The sequence below is a fragment of the Homo sapiens genome, chromosome 9 (assembly GCF_000001405.40).
Source record: "Homo sapiens chromosome 9, GRCh38.p14 Primary Assembly".
Classification (NCBI taxonomy): domain Eukaryota; kingdom Metazoa; phylum Chordata; class Mammalia; order Primates; family Hominidae; genus Homo; species Homo sapiens.
The window spans coordinates 132797704-132812645 of NC_000009.12; the positions used below are offsets into that span (position 1 = coordinate 132797704).

General features: G+C 50.3%; 1 protein-coding gene across 14 annotated transcripts in view, besides 1 other annotated feature; it reads right to left on the reverse strand.

Moving 5' to 3' along the window:
• Positions 1–14942, reverse strand: part of AK8 (adenylate kinase 8) — a 153469-nt gene that overhangs the window by 72126 nt on the left and 66401 nt on the right. For 2 of the 14 annotated variants that reach the window (XM_047422821.1, XM_011518277.3), the window contains exon 11: positions 8361–10843. The exons of the other annotated variants lie outside the window; for them this stretch is intronic. In XM_047422821.1, the coding sequence (XP_047278777.1) occupies positions 10737–10843 (107 nt within the window). In that variant the 3' untranslated portion in view covers positions 8361–10736. Of the gene's footprint in view, positions 1–8360; positions 10844–14942 lie in introns of those variants that run through there. 14 annotated transcript variants of the gene reach the window in all.
• Positions 10599–11100: an enhancer, noted in NCBI's record as "H3K27ac hESC enhancer chr9:135683689-135684190 (GRCh37/hg19 assembly coordinates)". NCBI's record gives its function as "activates a minimal SCP1, AML or CMV promoter by ChIP-STARR-seq in primed H9 embryonic stem cells {active_cell/tissue: H9 hESC(primed)}" and the evidence as "EXISTENCE:reporter gene assay evidence [ECO:0000049][PMID:30033119]".

Consider the following 14942-nt stretch of genomic DNA (forward strand, 5'->3'; position numbering starts at 1 on the left):
AAATGTGATTTTTTTTTAAAGGAAACCATTTAATGCTTAAAACAGATTGAAATGGCCCCTGTGAGAGACCGTTCCTAAAGTGACAAAGGACACAATCTCCCCCGAAGGCCATGGGCGGCTCTCCCTTTTGGGGGACCTGCAGTTTGGGTGGCCTCCAGCCGTCCTGTAACTCCACCAGTTCCGGAAGCTCTGCCCAGAAGCCTGGCATCACGGGCACTTGCCCACATCTGCCTGTGTTAGCAGTCCTGCGAAAGCTCCTCGTTCGAGTCCTTTAACCTTTTATAAGGAACAGCAACACATTTTGGCTCACAGTTCCTCACTGGGGCTGCGTGGCTAAGGAACTGCACTGGTCCTCTCCCAGCGCACAGGGATCCTGGATCCTGGTAGGGCTCTCCCATCTGGGTCAAGACAAGCAACAGACCCCACTGGGTGCTGCTCTGAGGCTACCGACCTTTCCCAGTCAGCATCTCTCCTCAGTGGCAGCACGCAGGGTTGAGGAGTGAGGGGTGAACCCTGAAGACCCTGCCTTTAGTGTAAATTCCCCAAACCCACCCATGTCTCCTGTCCCAGCCTCTCTGAGGCTCGGTGTCTGTTTTGCTGTGGCTTGTTTGGATTTTCCTGCCAGCTATGGACTCACGTTTCCAGCCCCACATGGTCTGACTGGCCAGCTCAGCACAAAGCTGAGAACAAGCTGCTCCTTGGTTCACTGTGCTCTGCCAGAAGTTTCGAGTCCTCTTGATAATGCTGTCCATTTACCCTTTCTCCTCCTCTCAGACAGAGATTTTTCAGTGCGGTCTAAAGTCTTTCACCATTAAGTCAGATGCCTCAGGCTTGATTTCTGGGCTTGACAGTTAACATCTCACCCTTCATACAAAGCTACCGCCAAGGGTTACCTCTCTGGAGTGTTCTGTCAGCCCTAAATTTAGCCAACTGCAAGATATGAGTATCTCATTATTTCATAAGGCCACACCACATGGTTTCGTTTGTTTTTTTTTTTTTTTTTCTCAAGATCTTCCATAAAAGATGGCAGTCCTCAAGTTGACCTCCAGGTTATTAAAATCTCAATCCATTTATTCCCCGCGGGGCTGGGTGTGCTTGGCCCTTGGCATGGGGGTAGATGGGGATCCATGGTGGCAAGTGGGATGCTCCCAGGCCTCCACTCCCCACCGCGGGCCCGTGTCCCACCCTCCTGTCTCGAAGGGGAAGGAGTCCTGTCTAAAGGCCCAGGATCCCATTGGGCTCCCTCCCGCACAGCAGTTCCACGGCTCCGGACAGGAGTCCCGACACCCATGAGATGCAACTGGGCAGCACTGACTCCTCCCGGGCTGCAGGTCTGGCTTCAGTCACCCTCGGTCACATCCAGCTCCAGAGCTGATGGGTGTGAGTAGGGAAGGGCTCGGAGAGAGCACCCAGGCCAGCTTGCGGTTTTCCAGCAGGCACCAGAGGCCCCTCCTGCTGCGCCACGCCGCCGCCTGCTGTCCGCACCGCAGAGCCAGCCCTGCAGGGACCTTGGCTTTCTGCCCATCAGTTATTGTTGAGGGAGAAGATATGAGGGACACTAAGGTTTCTGGGGCTGGCATATAAAGATAGGACAAAAAGTGGAGAGAAGGAAATAGCTCCTTCAGCCAGTGGCTTAAAGATAAAAAACATGCTAAGGTTGATTGCTAGACTCACGACAAGCCATGTGAGCCTCCTTGGCACCCTAGGGCAAACAGGAAAGAGCTGAGTGCCTCCCCACACACCCTTGCACATGCCCTGCACACGTCACCCCTCCATGCACACTCATAAACGCCCCCACACACTACATACATGTCTACACACACGACACCTGACACACTACAACACACACAGGCACGCACACACACAGACATGTGCTCATGCACTCAGCTACAAACACACACACACACACACCACACACCCCCACACCCCTACACCCCACCACGTGCACAACACATACTGTATACCCACCTATCCACACATAGTACACGAAGCACACACCCTCATTACACAAACACATCTAGCAAACACACCTACATACCTACACCGCACCCACACTGCCTCTCCTCATCCCTCACATTCGCTTCAAACTGCCCGGTGTAACTTCTTTCCTTCTTCAAGCCCTCCTTGAAATTGATGTCAAGATGAGCATCAGTGTTCATGGGGGAGGCTGGCATTTGCTTCTCTTTCTCCTGTGGTCCCTGGGTCCCTGGGTCCCGCCCCTCCTGAAGGATCCCAATAGGACCCAGGAGGTCCAGGGAATCTTACAAAAGGAACAGGACTGTGGAGGAGGAAAAGGGGTTGCTTTTGGTTTTGTTTTTTAATTTCCATTTCACACAACCTGGTGCCTGAAAGAAGCGGGGCTCGCATCCCGCCAGGGGCTCTACTCTAGGCTGCTGGGAGGTTTGCCCAGGCCCTGACTTAATTCAAGGAAAGCCGAACGCCTCCCATCTCTGGAGGCCATCACTCTCGGGATGGCACTGATTCCCGGCAGCTGGGCCTGCAAGCCCGTCTCGCTGCCGTCACCAGAAATCCTGCGTGCCCTGAAGGCCCTGCAGCGCCCCAGTGCCAGGACCTGGCGCCAGGTGTTTCTGTTGGTGATGCCGTTTGTTTGTTATTTACTACCACCTGCTGGTGAAACATGGGTTCTGCATCCCCCAAGTGAACGCCGCCAGCAACGCACAGAACATTTCCAAACCCTGGAGAAGAGAATGAGGAGAAACTGGGATTGTTCCATCGGCCGCACCCTGCAATTCCTAAGGGAGGGTAAGGCCACTGGATCTAGCTTGCTCTTTGGTAAACTCAAGTCAATTGCCCCAGACAAACCCCCATCTGGCCGGGCCTTGGTTCCCCAAGTAGGAGATGAAACAGATGCCTTCCATGGTTTTCTTAGACGCCAACCTTTCTACTCTAATATCTCTACTGCTTAACAACGTTTAAAATTGCCTGGCAGACAATGGCGCCAGGAAATAACAATGTGTTAATACTGGATTTTCTTTCAAGACCAGAGAAGTCAGTACATCAGCCCTGGGTGCCCTGCAGACTAGGAGGCCATGTTGTGCCCCTCCTCCCTTGGAGAGGGCCACCCACTTTCTGTCACTCTCTTCTTTACCATGTCTACTCAGGCAAAAGGCAAAGACAAGACTGAGGTGCCCACACGGCATTGACACAGCTACCTGAGGGGCAGAGATGCCCAACAGTGAATATTTCAGTTTGTCCTTTTTTTTTTTTTTTTTTTTGAGACGGAGTAGTCTCGCTCTGTCGCCCAGGCTGGAGTGCAGTGGCGCGATTTCGGATCACTACAACCTCTACCTCCTGAGTTCAAGAGATTCTCCTGCCTCAGCCTCGTGAGTGACTGGGATTACAGAAGTGCGCCACCAGGCCCGGCTAATTTTTTTTGTATTTTTAGTAGAAATGGGGTTTCACCATGTTGGCTACGCTGGTCTTGAGTTCCTGACTTCAGGTGATCTGCCTGCCTCGGCCTCCCAAAGTGCTGGGATTATAGGCATGAGCCACCACGCCTGGCCAGTTTGTCCCTTTCAAATGAAGTTTTAGGTGACAAAAGAGACCATTCAAAAATAGACATTCTTCTATAAACAACTGGTACATCACTTAGCAAATTAGTAAAACTTCTCTATTGGAAATGCTCGGCTAGCCACACTGTGCAGAATGATTTGACAATTTTTATTTTAAAGTACATTTTTACATCTTTCAATGGAATATGAAAGTATCTGGGAAAATGAGCAGAGGTCGGCCAGTCTGCATGTGAACTGGATTATTTTAAAGAGTGATGTATTCACTAAGTGTACACTGCAGATCAAAGCATTTAAGGAACACGATTTTCCTTCCATTTTAATGAATTCAGGGCTTAGAACCAGTTTTTTCTCCCACATCTCAAGGGCAGCAAGGATGCCATAGCCCACGAAATCTGGGAGAAGAAAGTCAGCAGCAAACAGAACCATGAGCCCAGTTTTCTGGGAGGGAAAAGATATGATAGTATATTGACTCACCAAGCATGTATGCTACAGTGCATATGATGAGCCTGGCCCTGTTCTAAGCATGTCTTTGTTCTAATACAAATATTAATTCATGTAGTTTTCTCCCTATGAAAGAAGTAGTCACAGTATCCCATTTTACAGATTAGAAAACTAAGGCACAGGAAGAGGAAGTGACTTGCCCATGGCCATACAGCTCACAGGTAGTGGAGCTTGGATTTGCATCCAGCCAATCCAGCTCTGGGGCTGCTTGCTGCCACCTGACTTTTAGGAGGACGAGCACTGTGACGATGAGGACTAGAGGCCCAAACTCTGCCCTGCGCTCTGCATTCCACTTGCAGCCTGCCTTTGGGCGACTCATTTTACCTCCTAGCCAAGGCTTCCTCCTCTTCATGGGGACAAAATTGGGCTCCAAAGCCACGGAGGTATTGGTAGGCCCCTGTGTGGCACCCGATGTCGCCTGGGGATCCAGCTCCTGAGGGCTGCTTAGGCTGTGGCTGCCTCCCAGGCACGTGGTGCAGCCCATCCTGAACAAAACTAAAATGTTCACATCAAGCCTTCCCCGGTGTGGTGTGGGAGATTAAAGATGGCCACGCCTTCTTTGCTACTCCTCCCAGGGCAGGGGGCGGGAGGGGGGCGGTGTCTCAATCCCCTCCCTGGAACCTGGGCTGGCCCCAGTGACAAGCTCTGTGAACAGATTCAGACAGAAGTGTATCCTGGGGTGTCTGTGGTGAAGTCATGGGATGCCTGGCCGCTGGCCCCACCTTCCACCCCAACCACTGCCGCCCTTGAACTCTCTGGAGTGCTTGTGCCAGGAGCAGCCAGACACCAAGTAAGAAGGCAGGTGAAGCCAGCCCCACGGAGAGGCTGTGAGGAGGGAAGATGCCTGGCCAGCCCCAGCCATTCCAAGCGTGCCCTCCCAGGCACCGGGCATGGCGATGAAGAATCCGTCTTGGACACACTATCCCTGCAGATGCAACGTGGAGAAAAACCAAGGAATCAAGCTGACGCCAGAACTGAGATCCAGATGTAAATCCCCGGGTGAGCCAGCCCAGCTCTCTTAGGCAGTTCAAGGCATCCCACCTAAGCCCAAGTCAGCACAGAGCAGAGTCGAGACCTCCTTGCCATGTCCTGCCCCAAACCCTGACCCACTAAATCAGGAGCATAATAAACTCAGCGTCATTTTATGCCATTAAATTGGGGGGTAGCTTGTTAGGCTACAAGAGATACTTGGGGGACATACCCAAGACTGGGTAATTTATAAAGGAAAGAGGTTTAATGGACTCACAGTTCTGCAAGGCTGGGGAGGCCTTGGGAAACTTACAATCATGGCAGAAGGGGAAGCAAACACGTCCTTCTTCACATAGCGGCAGCCAGGAGAGGTGCAGAGCGAAGGGGCAGAGCGGGGGAAAGCCCTTTATAAAACCATCAGATCTTGTGAGAACTCACTATCACGAGAACAGCATGGAGGTAACCACCCCCAAGATTCAATTACCTCCCACCGGGTCCCTCCCATGACACGTGAGGATTATGGGAACTACAGTTCAAGATGAGATTTGGGTGGGGACACAGCCAAACCATATCACGGAGCATCAGAGTAATGCAAACTGGAGCTTTGTCAGTTCCCAGTTACCGCAGGGACTAGGTCCCCAAAGCTGGTAGCAGTCATGGGAAATAAATAAATATAAAAAATCCCCCATATATAAAATATATTCACACCCGACAGGACTTGCTGTGAGTACCATTACTACCACTAAGATGATGACGATGGCAACTCCATTCTTGATAATAATCATGGTGAGTAATCAGTGATTACAACCAGTGACCATAGTAAGTAATTAGTGAATTACAGACACAATTCCCTTTATATAGAGCAAGCCAACAAATGGGATCCTAGGAAAGCTCGCCTTACAGATGGGAAAACTGAAGGGAGCTCTGAGGGGGCGCATGGCTTGCCCAGGAGCACAGCTGGGAGGAAGCAGAGTCTGAATGGGAACCAAGTCTGTGTGATTCTGAGCCACGGCCCCTCCCATCTGGGAGTGACAGTCACTTGCCTCCCTTCTAGAAATCCTTCAGGCTGCATGCTGCCCCCTGTGACCTGTCTCCTCTTTGTTCCTTCAAGACTAATTCTCTGGGCCGGGCATGGTGGTTCACGCCTGTAATCCCAGCACTTTGGGAGGCCGAGGCTGGCGGATCACGAGGTCAAGAGATGGAGACCTGGCCAATATGGTGAAACCCCATCTCTACTAAAAATACAAAAATTAGCCGGGCGTGGTGGTGGGCGCCTGTAGTCCCAGTTACTCAGGAGGTTGAGGCAGGAGAATCGCTTGAACCCAGGAGGCGAAAGTTGTAGTGAGCCGAGATCGCGCCACTGCGATCCAGCCTGGGGACAGAGTGAGACTCCATCTCAAAAAAAAAAAAAAAAAAAAAAAGACTAATTCTCTGAAGCCACTGGGGCTGCCCATGGAGAGGGACCTCACCCGAATAGAAATGCAGGCAGCAGAGGGCAGCATCTGGGCCCTGGGATTGTCCACACCACAGGGACCCAGGTCAACTGCCACAGGCTTGCTCTTCCACTAAACTAGCTGAGCTCCTACCATGAGCCCTGCGGGAGCTGACTCCTCAGCCCTTGAAGCAGCCGGCCGAGCAGACAGCGTGAGCAGAAACAGGGGGATCCTGGGGTAGGGAGGTCCCAGATGAGGCCATCTCATCTCCCAGTAAAAACCAACCAAAGGCTGGGGGGAGGTCAGAGTCCTGCAATCAAGATCGTGGATGGGGTAAATCAGAGGTCTGCAGTGAGGGGTGAGGAGAAGGAGTTCCCCTTCCCCTGCCTCCCGCATCCCCTGGCTTCCACAGGCTCTTCCCAGGGAGGGGGGTGGGAGCAGGTACATCCCTCTGTATGTCAGGAAGTCTCTTCCCTCGCCTCTCCCCCTCCCGTGTCCCTCTGCTCCCATCTTGCTTCTTCTGTCGGGTGTGCCCTTGTCACCCAGAGCAGCAGCGACAGGTGTGAAGCTGCAGGGCGTGGTCCCCGCTTCCCTCCCTCTATGTCCGATGAGGCTGTGCCAAGTTCCCTTGCACAGGAAACCTCAGAGCCAGCTTCTGGTTGACAAACCCCAGCAAGTCCCACCTCCCTGATCATAAGTGTAGAGGCTGCAGAGGGTCACTGGGGCCACCTCTTCCTCACCCCTCATGTCCTGCCCCTGCCTCTGCAGGCCCCGCTCACAGCCCAATGAGAAAGAACCCGTGTCAGCTCCCGTCAGGCGAGGATGTTCCCAGAGGGAAAGAGGCTTCAAGCTGCACCTGCCGTTGGGGGGTCTGTGAGGGGCAGGAGCACAGCTCTAGCCATGCCAAGGGCTGCCCAGACAGCTACACTGAGAGACCTCCCGACTGGAGAAGAAGGCCCGGGGCCTCCAGGGTCAGGCCTGTCAGAGACAATTTCACAGCTGAGCGCACTGGCGGTTTGCTCTTCTCTGAAGCCGCTGGGGCTGCCCACGGAGAGGGAAACGCTTCTAGAAGCTCTGGTCAGAGCAAGGATGACTCTGTGCACTCCGGCTCTCCTTGGACTTCCCAGAAATGTCAGGGTTGGGTTGGGTTTCTTTTTTAATCTGGATGCCTGATACACAGCAACACTTGACATTCAGCCCAACAGGAAAATCTGGCTGTGCCCCTATGGTGGCTCCAGCCAGTGACAAGGAACAGCGCTAAGCAGGCCAGACCTACCCCCCTCCGGCAGCGCCCATTCTTCTTGGGGAGACAATGTTGTCGAATGGATGCATGAATGAATCTGGCATCACTTACTGCCTCAGTTTCCCCACTGGACTAGCCATTGAGCAAAGGCTTTTTGATCTTTTGGTGACGGGGCTGCCTCCTGGCAAAGCATCATTTTCATACCGGAGAAAGACAAGGCACACTTTCAAAATCAAAGTCTAGTGTAAAAAAAATCAAAGAGAAGGACCCTCGGGGGCACAAACCTGTTGATAAGCAAAGGTGCTCACCCGCTTCCTCTAACTGTGCTCATTCCTAGGCCCTCCAGCCCCCACAATGCAAACAACGCTTTTACCCTGCCACTCTGCTTGGCTATCTTGGCCACAGCTTTCTCTCTGGCTGAAAAAGACTCCTACCTAGTTTCCATGAGGAAATCTTTGTAGCAGTCCCAGCGGAAAAGTCAAAAGTTTGACTTGAAAAAAGGAGCTACTTCAAAAGCATTGTCAGACCGAGGTGAGGGTTCCTTTAAAATGCATAAATTACAGGGGGCATCCATTAATAAACCTCTAGGCCACCCTACAGCGGGGGCTCTGGGTTGGGGGTACCAAAGGGACAGAGGCCAACACACCTGGGGGAGGCAACGCGAAGGAAATCCACATAGAATAAGAGTAAATTAATGTGTTTATTACTTACTGCTTGGCGTGTGTGTGTGTGTGTGTGTGTGTGTAGAAAAATGAAAGAAAAATGTAGAGTTTTTTCAATAATAAAAAGGGAGTTGCACTGCGGGGCCCCTAAAGCTTGTGAAAAATTAAACTCGACGGATTCAAACTGTCCTATTTCCACTTCAAAAGAGAAGAGGCACTGAGCTCTTCCCAACTTATCTTCAAACGCCCAGCACCCTAGAAAGTTTCTTTAAAAAAATAAAGGCTCCTGTTCCCCCAAGCACTGTACCGGTTACTGTACCCACTGTCTCTCCCTCTTCTAATTATACCCCTGTGAGTCTATTAATCAACTTGTAAATTATTTAGAGAGTCATGCGCTGTCTTCAGCGAGTACAAACACACCGCATGCAAAGGCTTGCTGGAAACGGGCAGAGGGTCCCTCAGGGTCTCCCCTCCACGGGAAGACAGCTTGCAGCTGGCCGAGGCTGCTCTGCTAAAAACAAGAAATAGCATTCCGCTTACCTCCTCAGATGGGGAGATTTACTTTGTCTTTCAACTCAGCAACTCTTTGCAAGTTTTTAACAAAAGAGAAAAACTGGTCTATGGTCGATCTTTAGTGTGCATTTAGTGATGAGAATATTAATTCCCCCTTAAAAATGCAGCACTTTGGCTGAGCTCTGATCCACACCTCCTGGGATCTGGACTCACGGAAGGCTCTTGAAAACACATCATCATCCCAATTGGGGGCTGGTTTGGCTTGTTTGTATTACGATGGCTGCATTTGCTAGGGTGAGGTCTCATTACCAGAAAGGGTGCAAATTAGCTTCTTGAAACTCTCTCAAATCTCCCGCCTTTTCTCGGGTTCTATTAGGCCATGAGGGACCTTTCCCAGACAGAAATGTTTAGGAAATGTAGGGATGTGTGGGAGGGGCACAGGTAACAACTCGATAATGATCTGTCTTCCACATCACCTTTTCTACATACCAGGACTTTCGCTTTTAGGGGAAAGTCATTACCAATTAAATAGCTGTCTTCCCTCCTGACAATAAGAAAGGAATATGTCTGGTATGTGCCAAGGAATGTGGGCCTTCCTACAACTGAACTGCTTTAGCTGTTGGGAGATGCTGGGGGGGGCGGGGCCACAGGGGCAGCTGCCAGTTAGGAGCTCACCGTAACTGGGCCGACGAGCCAGTTGGGCAGGTGTTGCAGAGTGTATGCAGAGACAGGAGATGTGAAAAGCTACAGTCTAGCTCAGAAGCCCCACTGCTGGGGACATGGCATGGCTGGCGGGCTCCTGACCATGCAGTTCCAGCATGTTCCGAGTGCGCTGTGGACAGGCTGAGATGAGCATCTCATGCACTTGGAGCAAAGACATAAACCAGCAAGGACAAGATCTGCCTTTGGCTGTTTTTCATCTCCTCCCTGGATAACCACCCTCCAGAGGAAGTCCAAGCAACTCATGAGAACGAGAACAGTTCCTTGGGCCAGGGCAGAAGCCAAGCCTTCTGGCTGAAGAGCCGGCGTTGTACCATTCACTGGGCCCGGCAACCTGGAAGTAGGTTATATCCACCATCAACAGTCCCTGGACCCTAATTTATGGCTAAAATTCTCATGAGAAAGGCTAAAAATAAAGCAGTGCAGACTTCAGACTTCTTTATGTTGGGTGAGTTTGAACAACAGAGTGAGGCCCATGAGCAGGGCTCATTTTATATTAAGTGAAAATCGGGAAGCGACATTCCAAGAGGCAAAGACAGAATTATGGCCAATTTCCTTAGGAAGCTCTGGGCCTCCAGAATTCAGAAATTTCAAACACACTTCGGTAGGAATGGAGCTATGGGGAAGGAGCTGAGGACATCATTTGGCAGTGGTGGCCACTGTGAGCCACCGCTGATTTAAGCAAAGAACTGAGATCTAGTAGCGCCTTTGCTTGAGTTCAGAGAGGAAAGAGGACATCTGTACACATGCTGTAGAACACGGTGGCAATGGAGTCCATCAGCAGCAACCATCTCATTTTAAATGATACAGAAACAGCTGAGAACTTATTTTTCCAAAAGCCCAGAATCGTTTTTACTTGTTTTGTACTAGTGTAAAAGTGACAGGAGCTCCCTGGCAACTAAGGCTGCATGATTTAAGCTCGACCCTGTTTATCGTATGCAGAGCAAACTCCTGGTGACTTTAATGGAGGTTGCCTGCATAAAGAACTCCACGTGCGGAGCCCTGGGGAATAAATTTGTTCTGTTCACTGCAGCTCAAGTCAGAACGAGTTTAGGGGGTCAGACCTATATATTTCAAAGTCCAGGCACAGAATAAGCATCTCCCCAGTCCTCTGTCCACAGTGCCATCACCAAGAGCCTGGGATCAAGGGACTGAAGATGCGCTAAGATGGGGCCCTGGGGTCCTTTGCCCAGTAAATGTGGAAAGATGGGAAAACAGTACAGTTATTAATTTTGCTGCTGATTCGAAAGAAGGAGGTGTTGGCAGCACCTGTGAGGACAAAAAAAGAACATAACTAAGTCTGCAGAGGTCACGGCTGGGACATAACATCATGAGGCCTGGAGTGGGGATAAGAGCAAGAGGCTGCACGGGGAAAAGATGACATCTGGCTCTATTTGGCTGAGCCAGTGATGGTGGTGATGGTGACTGTGAGGGTGGCAGGGATGCACAATAACAAAAGCGCACATCTCTGGGGCACGCAGCTCCAAGGTGAGTGGAGAGAAAGCACAAGTCTGCAATGGCAGGGGTCCCAGTGAAAGACCAGCAGAAGGCCAGCAGCCGGGAGCACAGGCAGGGCGGAGTCCCCAGGGAAGGAGGTCCAGTACCCACCAGGGCAATGAGGGGGTACCCAGGAAGACTCTATAGTGCCTGGCTTGGGGAGTGGTGGGGATGGGCTTTCTGCACTGGGTGGCTAGATGGTAGGGTGTTCTGGCAGTGACACCTGCAAGCTCAGAGATGCTAGGGGCCTCTGCCCCATGGCGATGAGGTCTCCATGTCTTTACAATAATCTCACTTGCTGAGCTCCTGAACCTTACAGATGAAAACTCCTAACAGGCAGGGGAGTGACTGGGTGCTTTCCTATGTTCCCAGGAATGCCGCTGGCACCCAGGACAGAGATATCTGAAACAGACCTAGGATTGAAAAGGGGAATCTGGGATGTCTCCAATGACTCCCCAAAGGTATATGGGAGAGCACCAACCAGCAGCTCCTCTTCTGGAAGTTCTGAAAGCCTCAGGGGATACAGCAGCATGTCCTCCAGTTTCAGGAGGCAGGGCAGGTCCTTCTGGTTGCAGGGCAGTGTTCGGAAGCTGAATTCCACTGTTCCCTTCACCCTGTGGCCTCCCTCTTCCCCAGAGCAGGGAGTCACTCCACGACAGGCCAAGTCCCTCCGGCTCTCCCATCCTCCCGCTGGCAGGCACTGGCCCACAGTGCAGAGGAATTTCCTTCCACATCTGCCTCCACTCAGTCAGGGCTCTTCCTGGGGCAAGCGTGGGGGCCCATCTCCCTGTCCCCACCACTGGAGTATGGCCATACAATGGGTGGTTTGTCTCCAGGCCTGGCCTCCAAAGGGCACGTTAAGCCCAAATGTGACCTGGGTTCTCAGCCACATTATCCATTCTATGCTCTCAGCAAACTCTGAGGTCTGTCTCCTATCGGGTTCAGAACTCAGGATGAGGGGAAGGGATGTGGTTAATCACCACCCCTCAAGCCCAAACAGTGGGGTACACCTGCAGGCTAGGGGACCCCTAAGTCACAGATGTCACCAATGCTCAATTCGGGAAGGAGGGGGCCTCAGCCAGCTGGGCTTATTCATAAATAAGCAGGCTGTGGTCGGCTAGGCAGAGTTTCCCTGTTCAGCCTGACCTTCCCTTCAAAACCAAATTCTGTCAAGAATCATTTAAATTTTCTTCCTGTTTCAGCTGGCGGTGAAGTGGGTCCCTGCCAGACCTGGGTGGTTCCAGCGCTCCTGCTCTGCGAGCTGAGCGCTTTGGTTTTCTCGGCAGCTTCTCCACAGCCCACTAATGAGACCCTGTTAGTGGTTATGAATGTAAATGCATTCTTTGTTATCCCTGCGAGATCAGGATTAGTGAAATGACAGAATTTATTGCTTCCGTTAGGGAGATATGATATTGGTTGTTGTTGTGTCTTTAATTTTGTAGGAAGAGCGAAAGTATAGAGGTACATAGTCTAAATAAACAAAAAGCTGTGGAAGAAAAAATTTAGCATGAAACATTGAAGATCGAAGTGATCCGGGTCTCGCTAACTTTATAGAAAATTGGGAATTGTGCCGTCAGCCTCCTTTGCATCCCCCAAATAACAAAAAACAAACACAAAAACGACTCTGCGCCTGGACCACCTTTGAAAGGACTCTTGGGTTTGCTTTTAGTGGTGGATGAATTAAGCCGGCTCTGTACAAAGTTGACGTGCTTTGATTCAAGCAAATTCATTTCTGTCTCTCGAAGAGGAAGTAACAATAGGTCCCATTTACTCAAAAGATACAGTTTGAATAAGTCAGCAAAATGGTGCCCATATCTGATGATTAATTAAGGATCTGTAAACGCCCAACTCCCTATAAGACGAGGAAGATAAGACTGTGCTGTCAGATGGTGAGGAGAGAGGAGATGAGGAAACCAGGAGGCCGAGTGCTCCGTGACCTCATAAAAAACCAACATCCTCATATGACCTTCTTGGCGACCGTGACATCCCACGATGCCTGAGAACTAAAGGGCCGCGATGAGCCACTGTTCTCTTTCCAAGCAATTGCTAAAACTACAAAATTATAACGTGACTTGAAACAGAGATAAAATATAGAATGTAAGTATAAAGAAAAATTAATGGAAAAACGTAAACAACCCTAATATGCAAAGAGCACTGACAAACCAATTAGGACAAAAAATTGCTTAACTGGAAAATGGGCAAAGGGAAAAACAGTTAATAGGCCAGGGCTATAGAGAGGTGGTTCACAAAGATAAAACACACGTGACCAATTATCTTATGAAAATACGTTCAACTTTACCAACCTCACCGACAATCATAAGACCACAATTAAAAATAAATACATCTTTTGTCACATAACAAAGTGGCAAAGATTCAAATGGCTGGCCATGGCAGGCAGAATAATACCTCCCAAAAAGATGTCCACATCCTAATCGCTGGCACCTGTGAATATGTTCCCTGATATGGCAAAAAGGGCTCTGCAAAGGGGACTAAATTAAGGATCTGGAGATGAAGAGATGATCCTGGATCGTTCTGGGTCATCCCAAGGGTCCTTATAAGAAGGAGGTAAGAGGGTCAGAGTCAGAGAGGGAGGTGTGATAGCAGAAGCAGAAGTCAGAGAGAGAGAGATTGGAAAATGCTACTCTACTGGCTTTGAAGACAGAGGAAGGGGCCACGAGCCAAAGCATGGGGATGGCCCCCAGAAGCTGGAAAAGGCAAGGAAGTAAATCCTCTCAAGTGCCCCAGGAAGGAGCACAGCCCTACTAATACCTGGATTTCAGGACTTCTGACCTACAGAACTGCAAGATAAATCTGTGTTGTTCTAAACCATGACATTTGTTATGAAGTAACAGAAGACAAATACACTGGCAGTACCCAGAGATGGCAAAGACAGGCAGGGAATGAGCATTCGCACACTGATGGTGGGAGCGTATGGCAGTACAGCATCACCACTGCCACTGTTCATGGGCATCACTGCTGACTCAGGCCTCAGGGTATCCTAATAAGATCACCAGGGATGTTTCTCCATACAAGAGTGTGCATTTTAGTATTATTGAAGGACTGCAAATCTGGAAACCACCAAAATATTTATTTTTGTAATTTTATATTTTGAAAAAAATTCAAATGGACAAGGAAGCTGCAAGAAGAGTCAAAGAATTCCTGCAGACCCTTCCCTGGTGTTGGCCGATTGGCACTACCTCAGCTGCTTGGCCATTGTCTCTGTTTCTGAACCACTATCTGGTTAGTGGGGAATTAAATTATCTTCCAGGCATACTATGGAATACTACTAGCAACCCTTGAAACTATATACATTAGGTTAATTTGGTATCACATTCACTCATTTTTAGGGTGCTAATCCCCATCCCAGTAAATGGGAATTTGGAGAGAAATGGAGAGAAATTATGCTTGAGGATGCAACAGGTACTCCGCCATTGCTGCTGCTTGCTACTGTGGCTTTTTTTTTTTTTTTTTTTTTTTGAGACTGAGTCTCACTCTGTCACCCAGGCAAGAGTGTGGTGCAATCTTGGCTCACGGCAACCTCTGCCTCCCCGGTTCAAGCGATTCTCCTGCTTCAACCTCCCGAGTAGCTGGGACTACAGGCGCCCACCACCACACGTGGCTAATTTTTTTTTTTTTGTATTTTTAGTAGAGATGGGGTTTTGCCATGTTGGCCAGGCTGGTCTCGAATTCTTGAGCTGAAAACATCCACCCGCCTCGGCCTTCCAAAGTGCTGGGATGACAGGGGTGAGCTACCGTGCCCACTGGGATGACGGGTGAGCCGCCGCGCCCGGCCGCTAGGTGGATTTGAAGAGCAGCAGCTGCCTGTGGCCTCCCAGACCCTGTGCATGTGCATGAGGGCTGCTCCTCAGGA